This window comes from Homo sapiens, chromosome 15 (genome assembly GCF_000001405.40).
Source record: "Homo sapiens chromosome 15, GRCh38.p14 Primary Assembly".
NCBI classification, from domain to species: domain Eukaryota; kingdom Metazoa; phylum Chordata; class Mammalia; order Primates; family Hominidae; genus Homo; species Homo sapiens.
Window position 1 is genome coordinate 33,898,442 of NC_000015.10, and position 18,796 is coordinate 33,917,237.

The 18,796-nt window shown below is 40.0% G+C and overlaps 1 protein-coding gene across 11 annotated transcripts in view, besides 1 other annotated feature; it reads right to left on the reverse strand.

The window, feature by feature from the left end:
* AVEN (apoptosis and caspase activation inhibitor) overlaps window positions 1-18,796 on the reverse strand; it is a 223,545-nt gene that overhangs the window by 46,661 nt on the left and 158,088 nt on the right. The window lies entirely within an intron of this gene.
* Window positions 17,458-18,008: an enhancer, noted in NCBI's record as "H3K27ac-H3K4me1 hESC enhancer chr15:34208100-34208650 (GRCh37/hg19 assembly coordinates)". NCBI's record gives its function as "activates a minimal SCP1, AML or CMV promoter by ChIP-STARR-seq in primed H9 embryonic stem cells {active_cell/tissue: H9 hESC(primed)}" and the evidence as "EXISTENCE:reporter gene assay evidence [ECO:0000049][PMID:30033119]".

An 18,796-nucleotide genomic window follows, 5' to 3' on the forward strand; every position in this document is an offset into this window, starting at 1 on the left:
TCTCTGAAGGCTCTAGGGGAGGAGCTTCCCCTCATCTTCCTAGCATCTAGCCTTGCTAGCAACCCCTGACATTCCAGTTTGTAGTTGCATCACTCCAATCACTGATTCTGTGGTCCCATGGCCTTCTTCCCTGTGTCTCTGTCCAAATTTCTCTCTCCTTTTGACACTAGTCATTGAACTGGGACACACCCTCATCTTGTGTGACCTCATCTTCACTTGATCACATTTGCCAAGACCATATTTACAAATAATGTCACATTCACAAGGACTGAAGTTTAGGACTTGAACATATCTTTTAGGAGGGCACAATTCAACCCACAACACACAAAAATAGCTATGAAACAAGACAAAAACATGACAAATGCCACAAAAAGACATATAAAGTGCTATGGTTCAGAAGTCCCAGGGGGATTAACAGAGGACTTCATGGTATTCAAAAATAGTATTTGAAATGGTCCTGAAGAGGAGTATAATTTGGGTTAAGAGATATAAAGGAGAAGAGTAGGACATTCCGAGTAAAGGGGGAAATATTATAGTGTTGTAAGACAGAGGTAGGAAAGGGTGATGATACCAGGAAGGAGTCCAATTTGATAAAAGCATTAGCTCTAAGTGTGATATACTGGAAAGGTAGGTGGGGACCAGATAGAAGGTGGTCACATGCCTAAATAAGGATTCTGTACTTCATTCAGCAGACTTTTGGGGACCACTGAGAGAGTTAACTGTGGTACTCACCTCTGCCCCTATGACACAGTGAAGAGGCTCATACACTGTTGACAGGACACTTTCAAGTGCAGTTCTTTGAACTTGTTCACATCACCCAGGTAGCAATTACTGATGCTCAAACTGAATTTTCTTCATTGATCCAGCTACCATATGGTAGTAGAACTAGAAACAGCTGGAGGGTCCTCAAAGATTTTGCTATTGTGTTTAATCTATTTTGTTCATCTGCTGAAATAGTTTTCTCTTGAAAATGCAACATTGATTCAAAGTGTTTACATTTATTTGCTTCAGGGAAAACCTTTTTTTTTTTTTTTTTTTTTTTTTTTGAGACGGAGTGTTGCTCTGTCATCCAGGCTGGAGTGCAGTGGCGCCATCTCAGCTCACCGCAACCTCCGCCTCCCGGGTTCATGCCATTCTCCTGCTCAGCCTCCCGAGTAGCTGGAACTACAGGCGCCCGTCACCAAGCCCAGCTGATTTTTTATTTTTAGTAGAGACAGGGTTTCACCATGTTGGCCAGGATGGTCTCAGTCTCTTGACCTCGTGATCCACCTGCCTTGGCCTCCCAAAGTGCTGAGATGACAGGCATGAGCCACCGCACCCGGCCAGGGAAAGCCTTTTCTATCCTTAACTTGCAAGCTAGCATACAAAACTTAGATTTCTGACTAGCAGAAAAACCATTCTCTTAGGTAATTCTTCCTTCCAGAAGTATGTTCCAGAGGTCGTACCAACTCATTCTTTTAGATTAAAAGCTAAGGATCCTCAAATCACAGTTCAGTTTTTTTTTTTTTCACACACAAGTATAAAGTCATGTGCAAAGAAGTAAACAGAACAGAGAATCTAACTTACAGCAATTCAATGGAAATTCACAGTAAGAATGCCAAGGTCACAATTATCGCATGTATTATTGTCCTAGTGTCTACATCTGTATTTATGAATCACCTTTTTTTTCTTTCCTCTTCTTCTCTCTAAGCCCTTTTCTAGGATACTGCAATTATAGTTGTTCTATTGGAAATGAGTCCTTGAAACCCTTCAGAATCTAGAAGGTCACCTCTCCCACAAAGCCACATTATGTCTAAATGTTCTCAACTGTGTGAGATTACAGTCACTCTACTTAGTGCGGGAAAGTGGATAGAGTTTTGGGAGAACATTTTTTTTTTTTTTTTTGAGACAAAGTTATTTTCTGGCACCCAGGCTGGAGTGCAGTGGCATGATCACAGCTTACTGCAGCCTCAACCTCCCAGGCTCAAGCGGTCCTTCCACCTCAGCCTCCCAAACAGCTGGGACTACAGGCATGAGCCACCACGCCCAGTTGATTTTGGTAGTTTTTGTAGAGACATGGTTTTGCCATGTTGCCCAGGCTGGTTCAAACTCCTGGGCTCAAGAGCTCTGCCCACCTCAGCCTCTCAAAGTGCTTGGATTATAGGTGTGAGCCACCATGCCTAGCCAATTTAGTAATTTTTAAATACAAAAAAAAAACTGATCGCATAGCAAAATAGGTCAAGTAAAATATCATTGGTGCTGTATTTATTTTCAACCATACAATAATTACCTTAAGGTCTAAAACTTGACATTTATCTATAGGTGACAAGTTTAAATCAAATTTAATTTAAAGTCTTAATTATTCTATTTCATAAATAGCAATACCCAGACAACTATTAACTGCCAACGAACAGTTTTTTGTGTTTTCTTCAGTAGTAACCTTGAGACGTATCTTCTACCTTTCCTTCAAAGATTCCTTGGGCTGGGGCTAGAAAGAAGGAAATGTCTATAGAGCACCCTTGATGTAAGTAACTCCATCTTAGAAAAAGATTCTACCTTACACTGGCCAGGCACGGTGGCTCATGCCTGTAATCCCAGGACTTTGGGAGGCCAAGGCAGGCACATCACGAGGTCAGGAGATTGAGACCATCCTGGCTAACATGGTGAAACCCCGTCTCTACTAAAAATACAAAAAACTTGGCTGGGTGTGGTGGTAGGCGCCTGTAGTCACAGCTACTTGGGAGGCTGAGGCAGGAGAATGGTGTGAACCCGGGAGGCGGAGCTTGCAGTGAGCGGAGATCGCACCACTGCACTCCAGCCTGGGCGACAGAGCAAGACTCCACCTCAAAAAAGAAAAGAAAAAGACTCTACCTTACCTTTCAAAAGGTATCATGCCAACAAGGACTAGATATTCACACACTAGAAGTCCACATACAATGAAATACCGACACGTGCATACACACGCACACACGTTTTATCTATTTGCCCACTGATGGACACTCACATTGTCTCCATATCTTCGCTCTTGTGAATAATACTGAAATGAACATAGAGTACAGATATCTTTACAAGATGGCAATTTCAATTTCATGTCCTTTGGGTATATATCCAGAAGAAAGATTACTAGGTCATATGGCAGTTCTATTTTTAGTTTATTTAGGAACCTCCATACTGTTTTCCATAATGGCTATACCAATCCACATTCCCACCAACAGTGTGCCAGGGTTCCCTTTTCTCAACACCTCACCAACATTTACATCTTGACTTTTTTATAACAGCCATCCTAATGAACATGAGGTGGTATCTCATGGTAGTTTTAATTTGTGTTTCCCCAATGATTAGTAATGTTGAACACCTTTTCATATATCTGTTGGCCATTTTTATGTCTTTTTTGGAGAAATGTCTATTCAGGTCCTTTGTCTACTTTTTAAACAGATTGTTTTTCTGCCACTGAGTTCTAACAGTTCTTAAAATTTCTAAAAACTTAAAAATGTAACCTCTTATCAGATATGTAGTCTGTGAATACTTTTTCCTAGCCCATAGGTTGCCTTTCCATTTTGTTGACTGGTTTTTTGTTTTGTTTGTTTTGCTGTGCAGAAGCCTAATTTGATATAGTTCATGTATTTATTTATCTTTGCTTTTGTAGCTTGAACTTTAGGTGTGATCCAAAAAGTCATTGCCAAGGCCATCTATGAGCACAGGGTATTTTCCATTTATTTGCATCCTCTTTATTTCAACGTTTTATTGTTTTTAGTGTACAAATGTTTTACCTCCTTCAAATTTATTCCTAAGTGTTTTATTTTTGTTGATGACATCACCAACAAGTGAGATTTATTCCTGGTATGCATGGCTAGTTTAACACACACAAAATCAATGTGATACACCACATTAACAGAATGAAAGATTTAAAAACCCCATGATCATCTCAATGGATGCAGACAAAGCCTTTGACAAAGTTAAATATTCTTTCTCAATAAAAACTCTTCACAGTTTAAGCATACAAGAAAAGTTCCTCAACATAATAAAGGTCACTCATGAAAAACATACAACTAACATCATAATCAACAGGAAACAAATGAAAACTATTCCACTAAGATCCAGTACAAGGCAGGGATGCCCATTTCTATTCAACATAGTACTGGAAATACTAGCAAAGGCAATCAAACAAGAAAGAAAAGGCATCCAAATCAATGCCTTTATCTCTATCTGGAGATGACATGATTTTATACGTAGAAAACCCCAAAGATTCCACATAGTAACAACCTGTTAGAATAAATGAACTCAGTAAAGTTGCAATATACAAAATCAACACACAAAAATCAGTGCATTCCTACGCACAAATAAAACAGCCTAGTTGAAAAAGAAATCAAGACAACAATCCCATTTTTGATATCATAAAAAATTCTTAGGAATAAATTCTGTAGCTTAATTAAACTAATTAATTTATCCATTAATCCTGTGTGTTTATCTTTAGCAGTCTCTCCTATAGTTTGATGATCAATTTACCCTCCACCCTTCACAACTGCTAAAGCAAATGCCATCTAATGGAGCCACTTGTCATTCTTTTGGCCGCCAGGATCTGAATCCCCTTCCTAATCCTTAGCATCCCTCACCTTATAAAACAGAGCCCCTCTCCTACTATCAAAGCAGAAAATTCTAGATACTTCTTTTCCAGCATCTCTTGCTCTAGACATCGGCACGTAAATGAGGCCACATTGATCATAAATACTCACCCGCAGTATTTGAATCAAAAACTAGGGATGAGAATGAGGGATTATGCAGAATCCATTCTTAGTATTATGTGGTGGCAACTACAAACAGTTTATAAAAGGACAGAGGCAGTAGCAGTGTCCACTGCCCAGTGACAGTAACACTGACATGGATGGCACAAATTGCAGTGCTCATGTGTGCAGCAACAGCAGGTCTTCAGTCAGCTCTGCAATGTGAGGCCCTATACTAGCCTTCCTTCTAGTTTTTGAACACAGTCCCTGGGCGCTCCCAGAGAGGTTGTAAGCTGCCCAAAATACTTTCAATAAATTCCTTCTCTGCTTAAATTTGCCTAAGTCAGTTTCTGCAGCTTGCAACTAAGACCCTGATTGATACAGCATCTTGGTCTCCCTTAGACTAATTTTACATGCTTTGGCATTACATAATCTCATTAACTACAAGTTTCCTCAAAGCACACATGGGATCCTAGTAAGGAGATGTGTTTAGGAAAAATATAACAATATTAACACTTTGCATTGTATAGATCTTAACTGAATCTGAAAAGAATGAAAAATAGAAAACATGGTATATATAAAAGAACATACTTGTTTATAAGTGAATATATATTGTATATGTGTATATACAGTCATGCATCACATAACAATAGGGATACATTTTGAGAAATTCATCATTAGGTGATTTGTCATTGTGCAAACATCAGAGAATGTACTAACAAACCGAGATGGCATGGCCTACCTAGGCTACATGGTGTAGCCTATTGTTTCTAGGCTACAAGCCTGTTCAGCATGTTACTGTACTGAATACTGCAGGCAACTATAACACAATGGTAAGTATTTGTGTTTCTGAACATATATAACATAGAATAGGTATGGTAAAAGTATGGTATTAAAATTTTATGGGACCACTGTCGTATATGTGGTCCATGATTGACCAAAACATCATTATGCAGTGCATGACTGTATATGCATATATATTAACACATATTTGTAGGCCAGGTGCAGTAGCTCACACCTGTAATCCCAGCATTTTGGGAGGCCAAGACAGGAGTATTGCTGGAAGCCAGGAATTTGAGACCTACCTGGGCAATGTAGTGATACCCTGTCTCTACAAAATATTTAAAAATTAGCCAGGCATGATGGTACACACCTACAGTCCCAACTACTTGGGAGACTGAGGCAGGAGAACCACTTGAGCCCAGGAGTTCGAAACTGCAGTGAGCTATGATCGTGCCACTGCACTGAAGCCTAGGCAACAGAGTAAGACTGTGTTTTGTTTTGTTTGAGACAGAGTTTTGCTCTTGTCGCCCAGGCTGGAGTGCAGTGGTATGATCTCAGGTCACTGCAACCTCTGCCTCCCGGGTTCAAACGATTCTCCTGCCTCAGCCTCCCGAGTAGCTGGGATTACAGGTGCCCGCCACCACGCCTGGCTAATTTTTTGTATTTTTAGTAGAGACGGAGTTTCACCATGTTGGCCAGGCTGGTCTCGAACTCCTGACCTCAGGTAATCCACCTGCCTTGGCCGAGACTGTTTCTTTAAAAAAAAAAAAATATATATATATATATATATATACACACACACACGAATATGCACGCTTGCACACACATGCACACACATATATATGTATATCTGTTGTTCTTTATAATGAAGTTTGGTTATATTTAATTATATTTTAAAAATCTGTTAAAAGATAACTACTTTTGGTTGGGCGTGGTGGCTCACGCCTGTAATCCCAGTACTTTGGGAGGCCGAGGCGGGTGGATCACCTCAGGTCAGGAGATTGAGATCAGCCTGGCCAACACGGTGAAACCTCGTCTCTACTAAAAATACAAAAATTGGCCGGGTGTTGTGGCACACGTCTGTAATCCCAGCTACTCAGGAGGCTGAGGCAGGAGAATCACTTGAACCTGGGAGGTGGAGGTTGCAGTGAGCTGAGATTGCGCCGTCGCACTCCAGCCTGGGCGACAGAGCAAGACTCCGTCTCCAAAAAAAAAAAAAAAAAAAAAAAACTACTTTTGTTTCCCAACTAATTAGGTGTTTAAACTAATTAGGTGTCAAAACAAAACAAACAAACAAAAAAACCCACAGGCTTTGGGGTCAGAAAAAACTGAGTTTAAACTGCTGTTCACTACTTACTTGCTGTGAAACCTTGGAGAAGTTTCTTAAATTATCTAAGCTTCAATTCTCTCATTGGAAAAATAAGGATAATAACACCCATTCTATAAGGCTATCTGTAGGGTGAGAGATAATATACATAAAAGAGCTTGCCCAGTATCTGACATGTATTAGATGCTCAATAAACTTTGAAAGTCCAGCCCTCACAATCTGCCTATCCCTCAATGCCAAACCAAACTAATCTTCTCCAGGGATTATTTTCTTCCAAAGGAAGATAAAATTGGCTGGACGCCAGGGTTCACACCTGGAATCCCAGCATTTTGGGAGGCCGAGGTGGGCCTATTGCTTGAGCTCAGGAGTTTATATCAGCCTGGGAAACATGGCGAAACCCCTTCTCTACAAAAAATACAAAAAATTAGCCAGGAGTGCTGGCATGCACCTGTGGTCCCAGAGGGAGGCTGAAGTGGGAGGTTTGCTTGAGCTCCAGAGGTGGAAGTTGCAGTGAGCCAAGACCGTGCCATTGCACTCCAGCCTGTATGACAAATTGAGACCTTGTTTCGGGAAAGAAAAAAAAAAAAAAAAAGGTAAAATTCACTCCCAGACACCCACCCAATTCAACCAAATGCACTGAAACACCATGCATCTTATGTTTAGCATACCTGTTACCTACTGTCTTCCCTATATTTCTAGGACACTGTCTTTCTTCTATTTCTAGATTTTCTCAGTACCTCCTATACATGAATTGCTGTCCATATAGCCATGAAGGCATGCATTAAGTTGTTAAATTGCATTTTATTAACATCATTGCCCTACTAAAAAAAGGTCAAGCTTAAAGCTACTTGGTTACCTAAGAACAGGTCTACGTTTCTCCCAACTTACTGAACAGAGCTGGAGTGAATTGTGTGTGCTTGAGCTTCTGTGTATGTGGAATGGGTGGAGGGAGGGAGGGGTAGGGAAGGCAAACAACAAAGAGGAAATGAAACATGCACCAATAGGACCCACAAGCCCTCCATACCAGTGTATTACACAAGATACTAGAGGGGCTTCAGAGATTAACTGGTTCAACCACCTAGTTTTAGAGATATAAAACATGAGAAGCACCTTTTAAAATACTGAATGATATGCCACTGTACATAGATGCCACAAGTTGTTCATCCATTTATTTCTCTATGGACACTTGAGTTTGCTTTCACCTTTTGGCAATTGTGAATAATGCTCTGCTATAAAGTTGGATGTACAAATATCTGTTCCAGTCCCTGCTTTCAATTCTTTGGGCTATATAATAAGTGGAATTCTCGAAATACATAATTCTATTTTTAATTTTTATTGAACCTTGAAGACATTATGCTAAGTGAATAAACCAGTCACAAAAACAGACAAATGCTATATGATTCTGCTTATATGAGTTACCTAGAGTAGTCAGACTCATAGAGACAGAAAGTAACATGGTGGTTGCCAGGGGTGGTGGAGAGAAGACAATGGCAAGTTATTGTTTAATGGGCATAGAATTTCAGTTTAGGAAAATGAAAAAAACTCTGGATATGGATGATGATGATGATGGTTGCATAGCAGTGTGAATACACCTAATACCACTCAACTGTACACTTAAAGATGATTAAAGTGGTAAATCTTATGTATATTTTAACACAATTTTTAAAATGTATTCATCTAGTTTTTAAAAAGGGGTGTGGGGGGGAAGGGGGTGTACACAAATTGGTTAACAGGCTTTCCAATGTCAAACAATGAGTGGTAGAACAAGGATTACAACCAAGTTCTTCTACCTGACGGCCCACAGCTTTTTCTACCAAACCACGAATGAAAAGAAAAATAATTATAGACTTGGAATGCCTCCTCATACTAGCATCTGGACCACATCTTGTCCAATATGATAATATCTCAAATATCAGCAGGATAGACCCTGCTCGCCCAACTCCAGTTGTTTTCTGACACCTACTAGGCACCAAGTTAACTGGGCCTCTCCTTACAGCCGAGACCTCAAATGATGGGACACAGAGGCTGTCCCTTTTCCTCTCTCTCAGGCAATGTTATGTCTCAAGGGCAGGAACCTGAGGTCAGCTATGTTTTGCTCTGGGAATTTCAAGGAGTATCTCAGAGGAAAGGCTGGGGTATCAACATCAGTCATTTTGCTTCCACATGGGATTATGCTTTTTGAATGAGACATTGTTTCTAAGGGACATTGCCAGCCTTCTGTTCCATATTTTTCACTGGTTTAAAAGATTTTTGTTGCTAAGTCAGCTCATCAGGAAGGAAGGAAATGTAGCCATATTTCAGGCCAGACTGTTGCAAAGTATTCATAATGTATCACAGCCTTGGAAGCTAGATTTCATGTTGCTATCTGCCTTTTATTCCCCTCACCTCTCCATTCTGACAACTGTAGACAAGTTAAAATTCAGCAGTATGTAAGAATCAGAGAACAGAGGTTGTTTCTCTAAAGTCCTAATAAACCTTGAAAACAATAAAGCACTAGAAATACCCCTGCTGTCCTAATCCACAAAATTCCCAGCACTAAAAAAAAAAAAAAAACTATATGGAGTAAAGATTTCAACATAAAAAAGTTAAGAGTGCTAGAAGAAAAAAATGGGTGAAATGTATTATCTTTTATAATCTTGGAGTGAAGAAGACCTTTATAAACACAATACAAAATGCATCTAACTACATAAAAATGTAAAGCATCTCTATGTCCAAAAATTTAGGAAAGTCAAAAGACAAATGACAATGCAGGAGAAATACTTGCAACACATCAGATAAAAGGCTATTTTTCATTTACATTGTATATTTTACAAATCACTTATTAAAAAATTTGTATTGTGATAAGATATACATAAAATTTACGATTTTAGTCACTTCTAAGTATACAGTCCGGTGGCATTAAGTACATTCACATTATTGTGTAACTATCACCACTATCTGTCCCTAGAACTCATTTATCATCCCAAACTAAAACTCCTTACCCATTACACATAACCAGGATTCTTTTACTTCGAAAGCTGAATTGCTAATTCCAAAGAACATTGTGTTGACAGTGCCTGCAATTAAGAAGCCATCACCTTTGTGTTATGACAGTTTTCTTCCTTACTACAAGCATTATTGTTACCTGGAATAAAAGATTCCTGCTTTTTTGTTCACATCTTGAGCTGGTTATGAGTATTAACCCATGTCACTGTTGGTACATTTATAGAGTATAAAATCACTCTATAATTGCAAATGGGCAAATAGGTTATTCCCATGAGAACTCACCCCGAACCCTGGCAACTACCATTCTATTTTCTGTCTCTGTGAATCTGACCATTCTGGGTGACTCATATAAGTAGAATCATACAGTATTTTTCTTTTTTTTCTGACTGGCTTATTTGTCTCAGCAAGGTTCATCCTTGTTGTCGCATGTTTCCGAATTTCCTTTCTGAAGTCTGAGTAATAATCCACTGTATCACATTTATTCATTTATCCATGAATAAACACTTAGGTTGTTTTTACTTCTTTGCTATTGTGTATAAATCAATATTTTAAAAAGACAAATAATTCAGTTAATGGAGAAACTACAAGAGGGCTGGGGCTTGATTCATACAGAAGTCTGCAGGAGAAAAGACAAACCAGCAAAGACAGGAGCAGTCACCTGGGGTGGTCTAGAGCGACAAAGCTGGAGACCTGAGATCTGGGCAGTTTCCTTCACATGATTTTTGCTGAATTCTGAAGCTGCTTCAGAGATGCACTGAAGTGTTTCTGTACATTTTTAATACCCCCTGTAGTGGTTTTCTACCACTCTGAGCTGCCTGCCTGGGCTGTCCCTCAAACATCTCCCCAAGTACAAGTTGGTTTTTGTTTTGTTTTGGTGCTTGAGTTTCTTAGTGTTCTGGTTACAAAGAGGAATAAACTCTCAATAGCCAGCTTCTACCCTTATTTTTCCCTTAAGCCCTGTTATTTTAACATGTGATTTTGTAGAACCCAGGTTTCTCAGGAAAGCAAAAGCACCTTTACTTCCAACACCCAAGTGTGGCACAGGCTGGCAATTCAGAGAAAGAGACAAAAGTAAAATGTGCAGGGAGAAAAAACAAACAAACAAAAAAACCTAAGAGTTCTCATGGGAATAACCTATTTGCCCATTTGCAATTATAGAGTGATTTTATACTCTATAAATGTACCAACAGTGACATGGGTTAATACTCATAACCAGCTCAAGATGTGAACAAAAAAGCAGGAATCTTTTATTCCAGGTAACAATAATGCTTGTAGTAAGGAAGAAAACTGTCATAACACAAAGGTGATGGCTTCTTAATTGCAGGCACTGTCAACACAATGTTCTTTGGAATTAGCAATTCAGCTTTCGAAGTAAAAGAATCCTGGTTAGATGCTAAAGGTGTCAGCTCCATTCCTACCCCTACACCAAGCTACCAGTTAAAAAACCACCTAAGTATTTCACTTTTCAAATGTTTAAAATCAAAACAATTTTGGAATGGCTACAATTATTGTAATTTTACAAGGTATAAATTTTATCAGGTATATAAAATTATAACTGCCACAACTTTGCATTTATGTAGCACCTTTTTTAAGCATTAAAAACATTTGCTGGCCGGGCACGGTGGCTCATGTCTGTAATCCCAACACTTTGGGAGGCCGAGGCGGGTGGATCACCTGAGGTCAGGAGTTTGAGACCAGCCTGGCCAAATACAAAAAATTACACAAAATACAAATACAAAAAATTAGCTGGGCTTGGTGGTGGACACCTGTAATCTTAGCTACTCGGGAGGCTGAGGCAGAAGAATCACTTGAACCCGGGAGGTGGAGGTTGCAGTGAGCTGAGATCGCACCGCTGCACTCCAGCCCCAGCCTGGGTGACAGAGCGAGACTCCATCTCAAAAAAAAAAAAAAAAAATTGCTTAGTAAGCAAGGTAGTACTTGTTAAAAATGAGTCTCCTTGGCTTCCCTGTAAGACATATATTCCTTTCATTTCTCTGAGATCTTTCAATGGGGAGCTAAAAGAAGTGTGAAAAAACAAGAGGGGAAGGTGTGAGGTGGCTGTGAATTTTGCTGGACAACTAGTAAGATGTCTGTTCAGAAATCACTAACAGGAAAGAAAAAAGGGAAACAAAAATAATACAAAGCAAACACATTTACCACATACTCAATACCTGCACAGCATTGTGCCTGGTGCTGTTAAGAACTCAGGCCACAAAGGCAAAAGTGTGTGGAAGAAATTGGGACGTGAAGATAGCTGCGCCAGTATCTGTCATGTAATTATCCTATAGCCAAAGTGATGCTATACAAGGTCTTCCTCTCTCACAAAGTACTAGTGGGAATTTGTGCTCTAGGATCTTAAAAAGTGACAGGGAGAGAGAATGCACCTCATAAAATGCCCAACTCACCCAATGGGCATTACTCATGATGCTAGAAGGAGATCTGTCTAATGGGACACATTGGTGAGGCTGGAATAACAGGAACATTCTGCAGATGGGCCAACGGACACTCTGGTAGGGACTGACCTGAAAAGAAATGGGAGTTTCCTGAGTCTAGCCAACAGTGATCATGGCAGCTCCCAACGGAGAGTTAAGGGGCATCCCAGTTCTACTGCCACTGCTGACTAGTTATCACTCAACTCTCCATTCATCCATTTTCCCATATACAAAATGGACAAATAATATCTTAGGAGACGTCAAGATCATAAATATTCTCTATTCAACTGCTTTGGAAGAAAAACAGTTTTAAACCGATGAATCATTGTGACTCAACATTGGGTTGGGAGAGAAGCTAAAACAGTGAGGACAGTTCTAAAAAACTAAACTGCATAGAAGCCAACCCATTAAAATACCCTCTCAAAAATGTTCATCAAAGCAGAATAAATGTTCCTTATTCCTCTCAAGACCAACTCCAGCACCACCACCTCTTCTCATCACTCACAGTATCAAAACCACCGCTGCCAATACCATATTAAGTAGGAGTCAAGCAAAACACATGGTTGAAACTTGTTCTACTGACCAGATACCACTGTGAAGGCAGCAGATCAAAGCTGGTGCCAGACACCCCTTGAGGAACAAAGGAGAAAGATATCCAGAGCACGCACAACAAAATCAAGGGCATCACTAGCTATTCTCATCTGTGTTTAGCTTTGTTCCCTGCCCCCCTCCTTTTTTGCTAACATACCTTTGAAGGATAAAATACTTTACATACCCTGTTCACATGGCATTATATACTTTTCTTTCACAGTAACTTAGAAATAATGCAATGCCCGGAAAAAGAGGTATACATCTTATTTAATACAGCAAATTGGGAAATAACTCTTCGTTAAAAGCACAAATTACATTTGATATGCTGGGCTCTCCCAGGGTCATGATATTTAAATAAGAATTTCTGAGCCACGAACTGAGACTGTTAAAAAGCAAAATACAATGGTTAATAATACAGAGCTCTAAACATAAAAGCATATATTATTTAAGCATTAAAAAGTCATTGTGTATATTTGTCTAACTGGCAATATAAAAAAACATAAAAATCTGATTTGTTATAAACTACACAGAAAATTGAAGTAGCAATTACAGGCTAGCAACTAGCTAATGACTTATACCGTTCCTTTGCTTCTGATAGAGAGGTGTTAGCATACAGAAGAACTTCCAGAGAGAGAAAGAAGAAGGTATGAACTGCAAGTCAGTTCACTATTTTTATGTTGGATCTCCCAATAACAGTATTTGAATAAGCAAGGAGAGAGGGAACCCCAGGCTTCAAGGAAGATTTGTGTCATCTATATATTCCCTGCATGATGTAAATTATCTATGGATCTTTGGAAACAGCATGAGGTAATAGAAATCAAAGAGATATGTTTAACTCAGCTTCACAACTTATTAACTCTGTGACCTTAGTAAAGTCAATTAATCTCAACTTTCTCATCTGTAAAATAAGATGTAACACTATCTACTTCATAGAACTGTTAAGTTTAAGGGAAAGAACAAACGTATGTTCTTTAGAAGAGGCATAAATATTAGTGCTCCCTACACGTTGGCTGCCTACTGACTATTTGCAATGATGACAGACCACAGTTGGAAGGCATCCTATGCAATATGGAGTGTCTGCTTAATATTAAAAAATTATCAGTTATGGAACATTTAAACATGGAGACAAGTTCTAAGAGGAAAGAGTATGAAATAACCTCAACTATGTAAAATATTTATAGAAAATCTAATTAATTATCTAAATGAGGTTCCTCATAAAGTTACTACCTATAATGTTAAGGACAATTCTTGGTCAAAGGGCAAAGTACAATACAAAACATCACCAAGCATGGATTTCCATCAATGTGTAACTTAATCCCTCTCAAAGAGGATACTTCAGTTGAGGTTCTGCCCAACTGAAATGCTGAGCTGTTCTAATCTTAGCTCTGTATGTTCTCTTTTTAGGGATGAGCTTGTCTTTCACTGCTAATTGAACAAATCAATTGTCACAAGACTGGTGACATATGACACTCATGCCCATTACACTCCCATTGGTGGCAAAAGGAAAAAACTGAGTCCCTATAAGCCAGTAACTAAAATCCACATTTGGCTAGAATTTTCATTAGTAAATCTAATCCAACACTTATAAACTGGCTATGTTGTTTAAAGATTATCATGTAAAAGGCATAATTTTTTTTTTTTTTTTTTGAGACAGAGTTTCGCTCTTGTTGCCTAGGCTGGAGTGCAATGGCGCGATCTCGGCTCACCACAACCTCCGCCTCCTGGGTTCGAGTGATTCTCCTGCCTCAGCCTCCCAAGTAGCTGGGATTACAGGCATGCACCACCACACCCAGCTAATTTTGTATTTTTCGTAGAGATGGGGTTTCTCCATGTTGGTCAGGCTGGTCTCGAACTCCCAACCTCAGGTGATTCACCCGCCTCGGCCTCCCAAAGTGTAGGGATTACAGGCATGTGCCACTGTGCCCAGCTGGCATAATTTTTTAAAAAAAGAATGCAGAGGAATTGTATTCAATTAAGAGGCTTTAACTCAAACCCCGTGACCATGCCTACGTTCAAACAAGGGCTGAAACCAAATGTTAAACTTTTAAACTAATTGGTATTAAAAGGAGTAGATATATACATACAGGTCCAAATAATACAAATTCTCAACATTAAAATTCCTCTATTAATGAGGAGGATAATAGAGACAACCAAAACATCATTAATTTGGGACTGGGGAGCTCATTACAGAACATAAGGGGCTTTGAGCAGATTTACATTCCTAATTATGTTTTGCTTCATCTAATATTAAAATTACCTTGCAGTATTTCCTAAGACCCATGGTGAGGGTGACTAGCATCCGGGCTGAGTGTAGCAAGTACAGTGAGCCTAGGATGAGATCTAATGCCAGTAACTCATACAAATTACCTTAAGTCATTGAAGTTTGTACATTTCCTGTAAAACTGAAAACCAGCCCTCTGAGTCATAATCAAATGATAAAGAATATAACTAGTCTTAGGATATTTAATATTTTTCCCATAAAGTCAAGAGCAAGGTAAGAATGTCCTCTCCCACCACTTCTCATTATACAAGAATACAAAAGTAGCCTTGAACCAATGAAAAGACCATTCCTTATTCTTGGTTAAGGATATCTCAACAATATCAATGGATATAACCAGGCGGAAACTCAGATCTACAGAAATCCATGAAAAGGGCTGAAAATGGGAAATATGTGGATATAAAATATCATTGTTCTTCCATAATTTCTTTAAAAGACAACTGATCATGTAAGCAAAAATAACAACATTGTAAAGTCAGGTTCACAGCATACGTAGAAGTTAACAATAGCACAAAGAGCAGGGAGGAGCAGATGAATAGAATTATACCCATAGAAGGTGCTTACATTTGAGGAATGGGAGGAGTGGAATGTCAGTTCTAAGTTAATGTATAAATTTAATATAACCCCCCCCCAATAGCTATGAGCTCTTTTACAGTGGTTTTATAGTTTTTCTTTATAAAGTTTGAATGTAAAAATAAACATACAGTAGCAGCTAGGAACACACTGAAAAGGAAGAGCCATGAGAAATACTAAAACACATTAAAAGCCTGTGATTAAAACAGTGTGTAGCACGTATGCGCACAGATGCCAAAGAAGTAAGTCCAGAAATAGACCTGTACCTAACCTATGATAAAAGTACATCTCAAATCACAAAGATGACCTTTTTAATACATAGGACTGGTACAACCGTATAGCAATTTGGAGAAAGATAAAATTGGACCCATTCCTCACACAATACAGAGGAATAAACTCCAAATGCCTCCAGGATCTAAATATAAAATATGAAGCTCAAGTACTAGAAGAAAATATAAATTCCTTTTTAACAGGCATATAGGGAAACCATACTAGATGAGTTATAGGATTGAACACACACTTGAATGCATTGATACTGCTGAGTGACAAGGTTCTCATCATGAAAGGGATATACAAACATGGAGCAGGAGAAGGCAAGAAAGATCCCTGTGGGGATGGACGAGAACTAGAAATACTGGTATGAACTCATGATTTTTTTTTAAAAGTGTAGGTAGAGATACATGTATGCATGCATGTAGTTCATATCAGTATATGTACATATATGTACACATAAATGTATTCCTTAGCTCTCACCATCTAGCAAAGGCACCTCATGTGCAATGCTCACACCTAGAACCTGTATCTTGGTCTTTAAAACCATTTGCACTAAAAGGAACCAGGATTCCTGAGAGAAATGACTGATTTCAGGGTTGGGAAACAGCAGGGACAAGATGCATACCAGAAAGAAAGTACCCTCAAAAAATGATGGGGAACATGTCACAAATATACAGCAGTAGTTAAAAAGGGCTTCCAACTGGCCAAGTCTGGGGCAATTTGATATGTGTTTTAAGTATAAAATACTTAAGAGGGGAGATGGGGGAAAATGGTAGATAGGAGGCAGGACTAACTTGCAGCTCCCACTCAGAGCAGCATGTGGAGACTCACATCGTGAACTTTTGCTCCAAGAACTACTGCAGGAACATATAAGGAAAACCAAGATAATCCACAGACTCTTTGAAGGAAGCAAGCGCATTGCTCCTGTAGGCCACAGGAGACAACCAAAAAACTGTTGCGTGCCCAGAGTGTGAAAGTGTGAAAGGGGGATCATCCACCCCCAAGCACACACCCTCACTGGGGAACATGAAGGTCCAGATCACAAGAGAAGAATATGACTTACCTGGAGCTGAGACAAATTTAGAGAGTCAAGTGAAATACAGGAGTAGAAGAAGCAGCGGGAAGAGCCCTGTGGGCTCTTGGTCCCCAGGAAAGCCATTTCTGACTGTCTCACAGAGGTCCTTGGGGAGGGCTACCAGAGGAACTGGGAAAAGACCACAAGGAGAAGGGAACTTCCAGCTGAGCTTTGTAACAATTTCGATAGAACTCAAAGTTTTCCTGGACAGAACTCGGGAGAGGGGATGAATCAGGAGTGCAGACACAGCACAGAAGCCACAGCAGGTGGGGAGGCCTGAAACCTGAAAGCCCTGTTTGGTTTCTCAGCCAAGAGGCTGGTAGCCTGGGGTAGGTTCTCAGCCCTGCTCACCCGCGGCCTGGAAATAAACTCCGTGCTGTTGGAGAAGCATGGTGGGAATGAGACTGGCCTTTTGGGCAGCGTGGGAGCTGGGTAAGGGCTTGCTTTACCCCACCTTCCTGGTGACCTGCATGACACAGCTGAAGCAGCCATAATTCTCCTGGGAACATAACTCCACTGGCCTGAGAGCCACACCTCCACCCCCACAGCAGCCGCAGCAAGCCCCACCCACGGAGAGTCTGAGCTCAGACACGCCCAACCCTGCTCCCATCTGATGGTTTTTCTCTACCTGCCCTCGTAGCCCAAGACAAAGGACATAATCTCCTGGGAGCTCCAGGGTCCCACCCACCACCTGATCCTCCCTATACTACCACAGCTGATGCCCTCTTGAAAGCACCACCTCCTGGCAAGAGGCCAACCAACACAAAACTTGTGCAATAAACAAAACTACAACTAAGGACCCTCACAGAGTCCATTTCACTCCTCTGCCACCTCTACTGGAGCAAGTGCTGGTATCTACAGCTAAGTGACCTGAAGACAGATCACATAACAGGACTCTGTGCAGACACCCCCCAGTACCAGCCCAGAGCCCAGAAACTCCGCTGGGTGGCTAGAGTGGGGAAAATCTTCGCAATCTATGCATCTGACAAAAGGACTAATAACCGGAATTTACAAGAAACTTAAATCAGCAGGAAAAAAAACAAAGAATCCCATCAAAAAGTGGGCTAAGGACATGAATAGACAATTTTCAAAAGAAGATATACAAATGGCCAAAACACATATGAAAAAATGCTCAACATCACTAATGATCAGGGAAATGCAAATCAAAACCACAATGCAATACTACATTACTCCTGCAAGAACGGCCATAATAAAAAAATAATAATAATAAATGTTGGCATGGATGTGGTGAAAAGGGAACACTTTTACACTGCTGGTGTGAATGTAAACTAGTACAACCATCGTTATTAGTCTGTTCTCATGCTGCTATAAAAAACTGGTGAGACTGGGTAATTTAGAAAAAAAAAAAGAGGTTTAATTGACTCACAGTTCCATAGGGTTGGGGAGGCCTCAGGAAACTTACAAACATGGTGGAAGGGGAAGCAAACACACCCTTCTTCACATCGCAGCAGCAAGCAGTGCCCAACACAAAGGGGAAAAGCCCCTTATAAAACCATCAGATCTCATGAGAACTCACTGTCATGAGAACAGCATGTGGGTAACTGCCCCCATGATTAGATTAGCTCCCACTGGGTCTCTCCCACAACCCACAACACATGGGGCTTATGGGAACTACAATTCAAGATGAGATTTGGGTGGGGACACAGTCAAACCATATCAACCACTATGGAAAACAGTGTGGAGATTCCTTAAAGAACTCAAAGCAGAACTACCATTTGATCTAGCAATCCCACTCCTGGGTATCTACCCAGAGGAAAA